The sequence below is a fragment of the Homo sapiens genome, chromosome 7 (genome assembly GCF_000001405.40).
Source record: "Homo sapiens chromosome 7, GRCh38.p14 Primary Assembly".
Classification (NCBI taxonomy): domain Eukaryota; kingdom Metazoa; phylum Chordata; class Mammalia; order Primates; family Hominidae; genus Homo; species Homo sapiens.
In genome coordinates, this window is record NC_000007.14 from 70,245,638 (window position 1) to 70,259,356 (window position 13,719).

General features: G+C 36.9%; 1 protein-coding gene across 26 annotated transcripts in view, besides 1 other annotated feature; it reads left to right on the forward strand.

Moving 5' to 3' along the window:
- AUTS2 (activator of transcription and developmental regulator AUTS2) overlaps positions 1-13,719 on the forward strand; it is a 1,195,032-nt gene that overhangs the window by 647,163 nt on the left and 534,150 nt on the right. The window lies entirely within an intron of this gene.
- Positions 9,834-11,244: an enhancer, noted in NCBI's record as "VISTA enhancer hs2317". NCBI's record gives its function as "enhancer in: eye[6/6] | other[3/6]" and the evidence as "EXISTENCE:transgenic organism evidence [ECO:0001131][PMID:17130149]".

The window sequence follows — 13,719 nt, forward strand, 5'->3', positions numbered from 1 at the left end:
CCTTGTATTGATGGACAGTGGACATACAGGTTGTTTCCATTTTTGATTTGTTAGAAATAGTGCTGTATGACTGTTCTTTTATGTGTCTCCTGGCACATATCCTTGAAATTTACTTAGCATTAGAATTGCTTGGGTTTAGGGTATGCACATAAGGAACATTACTAGATAACGCTAAGTTGATTTCAAAATTAATTGTACCAATTTCCACTCTAACTAGCAGTGTAGAATTGTTGCCATCGTTTCCACATTTTCATGAATACTCTTATCATACTTCATATGAAATAATCTTGTGCACATGTGTATGTGTGTGTGTTCAACAGCCTCATTGTGGTTTTAATTTGAATTTTTCTGCCCTGGTTTCCTCTTCTGAGCATGTTCTTTTGGGTTTTTTAATCTATGTCTTTATTTTAATGTTGAACTTTTTCTTATTCAGTTATAAGAGTGCTTTATATATTTTGATCACTATTCCTTTGTGAATAATGTGTGTTCCAAAACATTTCCTAAGTTATGGTTTATCAGCGCATTCTGTTTATGGTGTCTTGTGATAAAAAGTTCTTAATGATAGAATAGTTGAGTTTATCAAACTTTTCCTGTATAGTTTGAGTCTTGTTTTGAGAATTCATCCCTACTCTGAGGTCATAAAAGCATTCTTACATGTTGTTTTCTAAAAGTGTTCTAGTTTTATCTTTTACACTTAATTCATTGCTTTATCTGGAATTAATCTTCATGTATGATGTGAGGTAAGGTAAGGGTTCAACTTTATTTTTCTCCATATGGACAAGCAACTATAATACCATTACCATAATATATTTTAAAAGTTTCTTCATCTCTCAGTGATCTGATGGACCAACTGTCATAAATTATGCCTCCAAATTTGCCTAGGTTTATTTCTGAGTTTTCTCTTTCATTTGTTTGCTAATTTATATAACAACACAACACTGTTGAAATTATTACAACTTTTAATTATTGCTTGATATTTTAAAATTCAGTCTCCCTCCCCCACCTCTTATTATTTTTCAGGTACACATTGGTGACTCTTGTCTTACTACTCTTCCGTGTAAATTTTAGAATCAACTCATCAAGTTTCATATTCTCAAAAAAGTGAAATTTTCATTGGAATTGCATTGTTTATTGGATAATTTAGAAGGAATTGGCATCTTTATGATATTGATTCTTCTAGTCCTTGAATATAATATTTATCTTTATTTATTTAAATCTTTTTTCTCCTTCCGGAAAATTTTATGGTTTTTCTCTATATGTTTTTTTTATTACCTATTTGCAAATTTCTATTAGATTTGTTCCCAGGTACTTGATTTTTTTTGGTCCTATTATAAATGGTGTCTTGAAAAACCATGTTAGCAGCAGTTCTCGTTCTTCGTATATACCCAAAATCATTCATAGCAGGGACTCAAACAGATATTTGTTCACCAATGTTCATAGCAGCACTATTCAGAATAGTCAAAAGGTAGAAATAACTCACATATCCATTGACTGATAAAAGGATAAACAAAATGTAGTATATTTATACAATGGAATATTATTCAGCCTTAGAAAGGAAGGAAATGTTGACCCATGCTACAATATAGATGAACTTTGAAGACATTATGGTAAGTGACACAAGTCAGTCACTAAAAGAATACTGTATAATTTCACTTATATCCAGTGCCTACCACTGTCAAAGTCATAGAGACAGAAAGTAGAATGGTGATTGTCAGAGGCTGGTGGGAAGAGGGAATGGGCTCTTATTGTTTAACAGGTATGAGGTTTCAGTTTGGGAAGATGAAAAAATTTCTGGAGCTGGATGGTGGTGATAATTGAACAATATTATGATATAATTAATACTATTAAGCTACACACTTAATGGTTAAAATGGTAAATTTCATTTTAATGTATATTTTACCACAATAAAAATTATGTGTTCTAAAATTTACTGCTGGTGTATAGAAATACACTTGATTTTTGTATATTGATTTTGAATCTAGCAACCTTGCCAAACTTACCAGTTATAGTAAGTTTTTTGCAGCTCGTCTAGATTTCTGTATATGCAGTAATGTCATAATGAGCATTTTGTTTCATCTTTTCCAATCTTCATACTTTTATTTATTTATCTTGGGTTATCCAGTTACCTATGACATTCAATAATGTCAAATAGAATAATAATAGCAGGATTTCTTGCCTTGATCTTAAAAGAAGCGCTTAGAATGTTTCCCATTAAATATGGTATTTTGTTTTGTTTTGTTTTTAGGTAGCTTTTATCAGATTAAGGAAGTTCCCTTCATTTCTAGTTTGCTGAGATTTAATTTTTATCATGAATGACTGTCAGATGATTTATTGAAATGATGATGTGATTTTCTTCTAATCTGTTAGTGTGATAAACTACAGTAATTGATTTTCCAATGTTAAATCAATCTGTAATTCGGGGGTTAAACACAAATTGATTATGACATATTATGCCTTTCACACAATGCTAGATTCAGTTTGCTGACATTTTACTTAGGATTTTTCATCCAAGTTCATGAGTCCAGTTGTCTTGTAGTGTTTTTCTCAAATCATCATTTTGAGGATTGGTATCAAGATTCTCCCACCTCAGCCTTCCTAGTAGCTGGGACTACAGGCACCCACTACCACGCCCAGCTAATTTTTGTATTTTTAGTAAAGATGTTCAGTAAAAAAACATCATTTTGCCATGTTGGCCAGATTGGCCTCAAACTCCTGACCTCAAGTGATCTGCCTGCCTCGACCTCCCAAAGTGCTGAGATTACAGGCATGAGCCACCGTGCCCAGCCATGTCTCTGTGTTTTAGGTATGTTTCTTATAGGTACTATATAGATTGATTTTTTTTAAAATTTTTTTCTCAGACCTCACAGGGATGAAGATGTTTTAAAAAGCTCTTCTGACCAGATAATATTTGTCTGTTAAATGGAGCTTTTTGTCTATTTATAATTATAGATCAGTTAGAATTTATTTTGTGCATTCTATTTTTGCCCTTTCTACATTTTTTTTCTGATTTCCTGCTTTTCTTTGAATTGTTTCTTCTTACTTCATTTTTTTCTTCTGCAATTTCAGAAATTCTGTAAACCATTTTCATTCTTTTGGTTGTTACTCTAGAAATTTAATAAAAACATTTCAAAGTCTAAAGTTACTCAGGAGGAAAGGAAAGATAATGATGAATACAGGGACTTTTGAACACTTTAATTCCCATCAGTTTGTTATCATTTACCTTAATTCTGTTGTATACACCCAGCAGATGATATTGTTCAGAATTAACCACATATTTTCCCATGTTCTACTCTTCATTTTTATTGCTTTCAGACCATTCATGTTGGATCACTTTTATTCTAGATAAATTATATTTTTTAGAGAATTTTTACTATGGAAAGATACTTTTTACTCTATGATATTTTAAGTTAACAAGTTTCACTTTGAATATTGAAGATGTCATTCTAGTGTCTTCAAGATTCTACACTGTTACTATTGAAATATAAGGTGTTATTTAATTGTTGCTTCCTTTAATGTAATTTGTTCTTTTTCTGGCTGCTTTTAAGTCTTTCTTTTGTCTTTGGTGTTCTGCAGTTTAAGGTGCATTTAGGTTGAAATTATTTTTTGCGTAACCTGCTTAGGATTTGTTGTCTTCTTTTTTTAATTTTAAATTACGTTTTATTTAACCCGGTAGGTCCAAAATATCATTTCAATATGTGTCATCAACCACGCTGCAAGCCCTCAAAAGCCACATGTGGCCAGTGGCTACCACACTGGAAACCATATGGGACAGTTCTATAGAATGGAGTTTAGTGCGCATTAGAATAAATGGGAAATCTTACTTAAATGCAAGCTCCTGGGGCGCGTTCTTAGAGGCTATGATTCAGTAGGTCAGCAAAGAGACCCTGGGATCTTCATTTTTAACAAGTTTCCCCAAGTGACTCCAATGAGAGTGGTCTGCAGAACACTCTTTGAGAAACACTGATGTAGGAGATTGTTCAGGGCAAAGCAGAAGGTTCACCTGACTCTCAGGGAACCAGAATAACCTAGTAACCATGGGATCATTGTTACAGGATCCACATCCCTAAGAGGATGTTCCACTGCAGTTTTCATTTTTCTCTGACTCAAACTCAGTAAGTGGATTAGATACATGCAGGTGATGATGCAGGTGCCCATATGGGACATAAAAATTTCAAGTTGGGTCCATTTGTTCTTGCATCAAATTATGTTTTAAGTAAAATATTAATATTTTAAGTAAAATATTTTAAGTAAAATATTAATATTTTAAGTAAAATTTTATTTTACTTTTAAAATATTAATTTTTTACTTAAAACATTAATTTACTTAAAATATTAATATTTTACTTAAAACATAATTTGATGCAAGAACAAAATATTAATATTTTACTTAAAACATTTAATATTAAGTAAAGTATTAATGATCCTAATAAATGGGGAAGGAGCTCAGACAGAACCCCATTCCCTTCAAAGCAAGACAACTTTGAATAGCTGTGAATCTTCATAATGGCTTCTCTTTATGAAGCCATTGTTTTATTCAAGGATCTACTAATTGGGTAACACCATCTCCTATGCACAAACATGCCCTAAACTTGGACTCAGTTACAAATAGGGATGAAGGTAAGAATGGTCAGACTGTCTGGATTTTCCTTCTCTTAGTGTTTCTCAAAGCATGGTCTAAGGACCAGATAGGGCCATGATACCAGACATGCAATAGACAGACCTGCACATTTGCAGCATTCTCCTCCAGAGACAGATTCACATGGTCAGGTACAGACCCAGAATCTGCAAGGTCTGCCACCCACCTCCATTCTCTGCCCCTGGATAATTCTGATACAGGGGATTAGGGTGAAACTAGTGGAACCCATATATACCACGCTGTTCTCATCAGAATGAAACTACAAAATTCACTAACATCTCTCTTGTTTTTAATTTTAATTATACATGTACTATTTACAATAGCAAAGAAATGGAATCCACCCAAATGCCCATCAGTGGTAGACTGGACAAAGCAAACATGGTACATATACATCATGGAACACCATGCAGCCACTAAAGAATGAGATCATACCCTTTGCAGCAACATTGACAGAGGTAGAGGTCACCATCCTAGGCAGACCAACACAGGAACAGAAAACCAAATACTGCAAGTTCTCACCTATGAGTGGGAGCTAAACAACAACAACACACAGACACTAGGAGGGGAATAACAGACACTGGGGCCTACTTGAGGGTGGAGGGTGGTAGGAGGGAGAGGATCAAAAAACTATCAGGTACTATGCTTATTACCCAGGTGACAAAATTATCTGTACACCAAACCTCTGTGGCACGCAGCTTACCCATATAACAAACCTGCACATGTACCCCTGAACCCAAAACAAAAATTAAAAAAGTATACATGTCATATGAATAAATTTCCAGTTATAAAATATTTCTTTTTTTTTTTGTTGAGACGGAGTCTCACTCTGTCGCTTGGGCTGGAGTGCACTGGCACAATCTTGGCTCACTGCAACCTCTGCCTCCCAGGTTCATACAGTTCTCCTGCCTCGGCCTCCCAAGTAGCTGGGATTACAGGCGCCTGCCACTACACACAGCTAATTTTTTGTATTTTTAGTAAAGAGAGTGTTTCACCATGTTGGCCAGGCTGGTCTTGAACTCCTGACCTCATGATTTGCCCACTTCGGCCTCCAAAGTGCTGGGATTACAGGCGTGAACCACCACACCCGGCCAATATAAAATATTTCAACAAATACAAGTAAATTAAGTAAAAAGTTCCCTCACCTCTTCTCTAAATGTACTCTTCCCCCGGGGTGACCACTTTTATCAGTTAAATTTAAGGATTTCTTGTCTTCTTGTATCTTTGGATTGATATTTTTCATCAGTTTTGGAAAATTGTCTATTCAGTTTCTTTTCAAGTATTGCCAACTCCTCATTCTCTCTTTCCCTTCCTCTTCTCTGGGAACTAAGATTATATGTTTGTTAGACCTTCTTTCTCACTGTCTCTTCCTTGACTGTCATAATTTCTGTACTACATTCCAGATGATGTTTTATTTTAGCTTCCAGTTTGCTTGTTGGCTCTTCACCAGTACCTAATCTATTGTTAATTCTGATTACTGAGATTTTCAATTTTGATTAATATAGTTTTTGTTTTTATAATTTTTTTAAATTTAACTTTTTATTTGGAAGTGATTTCAAATTTGAAAATCATTGTAAGGTCAGAAACTGTGTGAATAATACCATATACCCTTTACCTAGAGCCTCTGATTCTTATTTCACTCCATTTGATTTATAATTTGTTTTTTCTCTCTCGGATATATTTTTTTCTGACCATTTAAAGATAAATTTCATACATTATGACCTTTTTCACTAAATAATTTAGGTTATATATTTCTTAATAGGCATATTCTCTTACCTGATTACAGTATAGTTATCAACTGTGAATATTGCTGCAACGAACATGAGAATATAGCTACCTCTTTGGCATACTGATTTCAGTTTCTTTGAATTTATATCAGAAGTAAGACTACTGGATGATAATGTAATTCTATTTTTAATTTTCTGAGGAACTTTCATACTGTTTTCCTTCATGGCTGTATTAAGTTACATTCCCATGAACAATGCACAAGGGTTCTCATTTCTCCACACCACTGCCAACCCTTACCTTTCATCCTTTTGATATCTCATTGTGGCTTTAACTTTAATTTCCCTGTTGATCAGTGATGATGAGCATTTTTTCATATGTCTGATGGCCATTTGTATGCCTTCTTTGGAGAAGTATCTATTTAGGCCCTTTGCCCATTTTTTGACTGGGTTATTTGTTTTATTGCTATTGAGTTATTTGAGTTCCTTATATATTTTGGATATTAACCCCATATTAAATATATGGTTTGCAAATATTTTCTCCCAATCTGCAAGCTATTTCTTAACTCTGCTAATCGCTTTTTTTTGCCATGAAGAAGATTTTTAGTTTGATACAATCCCACTTGTTAATTTTTGCTTTTGTAGTCATATTCAAGAAATCTTTTCCTAGACCAATGTTGTGGAACGTTTTCCTATGTTTTTTTCCAGTAGTTTTACAGTTTCAGATCTTACATTTAAGTTTTCAGTCCATTTTGAGTTTATTTTTGTAAAAGGTGTGAAGTAAGCATCCAGTTTCATTGTTCTGCTTGTGGATATCCAATTTTCCCAATACCAGTTATTAAAGAGACTATCTTTTCTCCATTGTGTGCTATTGGCATCTTTGTAGAAAATCAGCTAACCAAAAGTGTGTGGGTTTATGTCTGTGTTCTCTATCCTGTTTCATTGGTAATTTGTCTTTCTGCCAGTACCATACCTTTATGATCACTGTAGCTTTGTGATAGATCTTGAAGTCTAGGTAACGTGATGTTTCTTTTTCATTTTTTCTTTATGTAGTCAATTTATGAATTCCTATTTTCCTAAGCAGTCTTGAATTCATTACTAAATAATTTTAGTACTCATTTCATATTTGGCCAGTGGTGTCCACATCTAAAATGGCTCCTGTAACCTAGTGATGTGCTCATGTCATTGATTTGAGCAGTTGTTTATGTTATGGCATAACAAGATGTCATTTTGTATCTACTCTGCCTTAGTCCTGGAATGGAAAAAAGAAATTTTTTGAATTCAAAACTGTTGATTCTTTATTTAAAATCTTTAACTCTGTTAGTACATACTAGGTGGTGTTGATTTTTTTTGAGACTGTTATTCTTCTTGAGACATTACATATACTTAGCGTGTCTGAAATTTCAATGTCTGAAGCATTTCCAATGATTTATGTATCTGATTGTTGTTATCTGCCAGCTTTCACTCATCCTTTTGCCTTTCCTTACTTGTTTGGTAATTTTTACTGTGAATTGCTTATTTCCCTGAGAACTTTGTGTGAGTATTGCTTGTTTTTCCTGGAATTTTTAGGAATTCTTTGACACCTGGGAGAAGGTGGTTTTTACCAGATATTTGATTATTTCATGCCTCTAGTGAAACTACCTGTGTGAGACCATCTTATATTCTCAGGGTGAGGTTTTTCTTTTCAGACCATTTTATGTAAATTAAGGCTTTAAAACTCTATGAGAGTCAGCTTGTCATTATGCATTATCAGAAGAGATTTTTTTTTTCTGCCGGCAATACTATTTGAGATGAGAAATTTTCATTGCAATTTACTTGAGGGAGAGGGTAGTTTATTTTTAGTTCATCTAGCACTGAATGTGTAGTAGGTCTTTTGTGTATAGCTCTGTTGGGATCTTCTACTAGATGTCTTACCTGGGGTGGGGGCCATGTGCTATGCTCTTGATCCCTGGATTTGTGAAGACTTGAAGCCAAAGCTGAAGTTCTAACTAGTTTGGGAAATATTCATAAGAGGAAACAAAAACTAAATTTTTTTTCTTCTCTTTGCTTTATTTTTGACCTGAGTATTGCTTACTTTCTGTCTAGCTCATGGATGTAGATTAGAATAATATTTTAAACTTCATTCTGTTTAGTTTTTAAATCGTTTTCAGTGGAAGTATCAGTCTTAGTACCTAATCTCCCATGGCATAAGGCTGGAAATAGCCATGATCCTGCCAAACACGGACACTCTGCAACCTGGAACAAAATATTCTACTCTAAAAATCAAGTAATTATGTCTTTTTTCAATAAAATATAAAGTATAATCATTAATGTAATTTACTTCTTTCATTCCAGTCTTCACTCATGCTTTCAAACATAGATTATATTATTCCAACCCTTCTTAAGTGGAATTAGTATTTCATTATTCCATAAGGTTCTACAAATACCTACAAAGACCATCATGAATTCCAGGTGCTCTGTAACCTGATCAGGTTGGAGAACTGCTGATGCAACCAAATTTAATCACTTAATGTTCTTACTAAGCACTCATTTGTTTTTCTGCTTCTATGACTTGCTCTCACTGCTTGCTATCCCAAACACTGTCCGTTTGTACATGTTCCAATGTCACCATTCCTTTTTCGGGCAAATGCTTCAAAAGCTACTGTTTCTATAAAACTTTCCTTTACCCTTCTCTTTTGACTTGTTATGAGCTCCTTTTGTAGTTTGTAATCTCCTTAAGAGCAAATTTCACAAATGTTATATTTGTAATATCTTATGTAGCAGAGTATTCTCACAGTCTAGAACAGATGGTTCTTCTGTATCTGTTGAAAGAAATGGGAAGATAGCAAAGCAACATAATAGGATAATTTTATTTTTGCCTACTAGACTATCTCAGGATGTATGTGTTTTAAATCCTAAAACTGGTTAGTGGTATTTCAGTTGAAAAGGTCTTGACCCTTTCCCTTCTAACATAACAATCCTCATCATAAGTGAGAGAGAAGATTGGGTGAGTAGGGCTCAGTGGGGGAAGCTGGTTCCTTTCACCCACCTTCAGAAATCCAGGTATGGAATACAGGGGTTGTTCTGGACCTCAAAATTACCTTTTTTTTTTTTTTTTTTTGACGGAGTCTCACTCTGTCGCCCAGGCTGGAGTACAATGGTATGATCTTGGCTCACTGCAACCTATGCCTCCTGGGTTCAGGGGATTCTCCTGCCTCAGCCTCCCGAGTAGTGGGGATTACAGGGATGTGCCACCACGCCTGGCTAATTTTTGTATTTTTAGTAGAGACAGGGTTTCACCATGTTGGTCAGGCTGGTCTCGAACTCCTGACCTCGTTATCCGCCCGCCTCAGCCTCCCAAAGTGCCGGGATTATAGGCGTGAGCCACCACGCCCAGCCACGAAATTACCTTTAAAAAGGTGGTCTTTAAAAGGCAAATAGGGAGATACTAATTGCAAAAAAAAATAATGATGAAATAAGTTATCTTTCTGTTTTCCACTTTTTCTGTGGTGTTCCTTTTGACATTTGCATTCCAAACCAGAGCCCCACAAATAACTGAGTTTGCACTCTTTTGGCAAGCAAGGACTGCTCTCAGATGTATTTTATAACTTCAGCTTATATGGGAAGAACTTTTCTTTCCAGAGACGGTTTCATAGTAATATCCTTCAAAAGCTCACATTGTAGAATATGACTTTTTTTTTTCTTTGTTGTTATGTTTGCTTTGTTTTGGTGGGTTTTATTCATCATTTCAGCCAGCTTATAGAAAGAGATAGAACTTTTGTTGGATACTAAATCATGTCTATCAAAAGCACTATTGACCTTGTGTTGTTAAAACTAAAAATGTAAGAACAAACCATTTTCTAAGGTTTTTAATTATATGCACTAAAACAGAGTAAGGCCTAGATTTATTAATCATTGGGTTATGGTTTGATGTGGAAAGAACCAGCCTATAACTTTTCCCTTTGTTTAACAACGTTATTGCTGAAAACTTTAATAGACTTAAGTGTACTGGAACTAGGGAGTGAAATCTTATCTTTCCCTGAACACCAGGGCTGCTTTGTTATGGTGTTTCCATTTGTGGCATAATGAATGTGTAGGACGCTAATGATGTGGTCTCTAGGTGTTCTCCTACTACACAGAGCACTGATAATGAGCTGCGAGTAATCTAGTACGAGTCCCTGAAGATGAATCCTGATTACCTTCATGGGGCCATTCCGCTCTGCTCCCTTCCTCCTTGATGTTTCTGTAAAGAGCATTTGGATTTTGAAGAGAGTATTGTGTATTTGACTTTTAATTAGATTTGCAGTGTGTTGGGTTAATAAACTAGGGCTTCTTCTTCTTCAGTTTCCTCTAAAGGGATGTGTGTAAATGTTGCACAGTGGGCCAAGAGAACAGAGGGTCATAACAGGCAGCAATGGTGGTGTCGCCCACTTCATGCCCCAGTCCTGAAAAGAAGGCTTATAGTGGCTGAAGGTTGATTTCATCCCATGGTCCATAGTTACAAATGGCTTCCAAGCTGCCAAGGACCTGCTAAACCTATTGCATCTGTTCTGTACGAGGAAGCAGTCTCAGAATGAAATATGACAGTTGTCTGTCAGGGCTGCCCCAGAGTCCTGCAAGTTGGTATTATCTGCTTGCGTTCAGAAAACACATCACCGTGGCTGACCACAGCTTTGTACTTACTGTGATCTTAGGGCTCGCATTTTTAGGGACAACTTGCCCTTTATGCCTTTGGTCCCTTTCTGCCTTCTGCTTTTGTTTTTCTGCCAGTTGGGTTCATTTATCTTCTTTCCTGTGTGTTTTGCCATGCTTTTCTTATTATAGCTTTCAGATTCATCATGGACAGAGATAGAAAGTACTCTAGTGTCTTTATCCCACCTCAGCTCTCAGTCTGGTGTAGAGCTAAGGGAAGGAGAATTGCCTTCACAGTCAACTTTCAGTGTGGTCCCTGAACTTTTTATTTTGTTCAGTGAATCCAGCACATCTCATATTGTGCCCCAGCTATAATGGGTAGTCCTTTCCTGATCTTCTAAGAAAATTAGATGCCTGGCTTCTGCCTTGCTCTTCATTGTTTTTTAAGCATAGTCCTTACATGATGGTCCGGGCCTTCCTTACAGGTCTAATTGTGTGGCTGGGCCTTCCTTCTGCATGCCTATTCTGTTTTTTAGTTTTTGTTTTTCTTTTAAGAATTGGGGTCTCACTCTATTACCCAGGCTGGAGATCAGTGGCATAATCATAACTCATTGCAACCTCGACCTCCTGGACTCAAGAGATCCTGCCACTTCAGCCTCTCAAGTAGCTGGGACTACAGGCACACGCCACCACACCCAGTTCATTTTGAATTTTGTTTTTGTTGTTGTTTTGAGACAGAGTCTTGCTCTGTCCCCCTGGCTGGAGTGCAGTGGCACAATCTCGGCTCACTGCAATCTCCGCCTCCCGGGTTCAAGCCATTTTCCCACCTAAGCCTTCTTAGTAGCTGGGATTACAGGCACATGCTACCATGCCGAGCTAATTTTTGTATTTTAAGTAGAGAAGAGATTTCGGCATGTTGGCCAGGCTGGTCTTGAACTCCTGACCTCAAGTGAGCCGACCGCCTCGACCTGCCAAAGTGCTGGGATTACAGGTGTGAGCCACTGTGCCTGGCCTGAAGTTTTTTTTTTTTTTTTGTAGAGACGGGGCCTCACTGTGTTACCCAGGCTGGTCTCAAACTTCTGGGCCTGAGCGATCCTCCCACCTTGGCCTCTCAAAGTGCTGGGATTACAGGAGTGAGCCATCATGCCCAGCCTGCCTATCCTATTTTATTCTGAGGCTACTACTACTCCTTATGGGTAGATCCAAGGATCTGACATCATTTTCATACATCCTGTTCAGTGTGTGAGTATAGAATTGAGGTAGGCTGACAACACAAAAGTGGGCAGAGGTTTCCCACTCATCCCCGACAGGGATTCTCTGTTGGCATAGGTGGGCTCTGGTCCAACTCCTGGCCGACATGAGCATGGACAATGTGGCACAGTTGTGGCTCTGCATCTTGTGTGTGACTGCTGCCCTGTTTTTGTTTAGCAAGCTGCTGTGCCAATTTACTATGCATGTTGTTACATATTCTGCTCTAATTTGACTGCCATTTTGCTTCAGCGAGACGATGATTGTTTATGGCAGGGCTGTAATGTGTTGTCAGCACAGGTTACTCGCTACTTGTTGGCAATGGCCTAACATTGCCTGAGACATGGTGTCACTGTGAAATGGTTTGACAATGTTGAGACTGTAGTTATGTTGAGCAGTAACAACTGTAGAGGTCAAGAAAGGGCATCTAAGAGGAACTGTGTTCATAGGGGAAAGATGGAGAAGGAATACTAAGTAGGACAGTAGCAAATGTCATCAAAGAGCTTCATTTTCACGCAATTTTCATAATTCAGTCTGTTTTCTGTGAACAGTGTTGGTTCAGCTGTTGCTCGGGAGTAGAAGCACATTTCTGAGTTAGAAATGAATTGTGCTGATCATGACCCTATCATTTTCTTCTTTGAACATTTTTAGAAAGTTATCCAGCTTGCTGAAGAATGCACTAGATCCTTGTCCATGTGTGAGGCAAGGGACTCATTGGGCCACCTTCACAGGGTTTCATTTTTGGAACATTTATCTAAGGACTATCTTACTACCCTGAGAGACCAAGATGTAGGCTACCTTAAGTCGTATGAGGCTGCTGTGAAAATGGCATTTGTTTTTTTGGCTCTAAGAAATTTTCAGGACCTAGTCAAGCATGTGACAACAAATATTTAATGATAGTGGACAAGGTAAACTTCAAAAGTGACTAGAAACCCTTGTGGAATCTAAGACAGAGGGACTCTAACAAGCTTGATGACATTTTGAATACGTTTTGTATTGATTACTGACTCTTTTCCCAATAATCTGTGAAGCTGGCTTTCTGTTTGGCAAGGCAGCCCCAAAAGGAACCTTCATCCCATACCTCCATGCAGGAGTAGCACAGAACAGCACCCAGCATCGGGCCCTCCAGAGTCTGGGAGGGTTCGGTTGTCTCATGAATTATGTGGTGCCCTTCAGGAACTCACTTTGACCTCTGATGCCTTTCCTTTCAAGCAAGTGGTGTGGAAAAATATTAAAACTCTCAGTAATGACAGTTTCCAGATATGCATATCTTTGAGTGGACAATGAAGGCAACATTTATATTCTGTCCACGATGCGAGCATGGTATGCATTCTGCAGCTGTCACAGAGCCTTCCTTCTGGTACCAAATACCTTACTTCCTGACAGGTATGACCTCTGAGACCTCCCTAACCCCTTTCTTTCATTTCATACAAAAATCTAGAGCTTGGCTTTTTTTTTTTTCCTTCTTTTTTTGTAAAAAGAGGTTTTTCCATTTTAAAAAGCC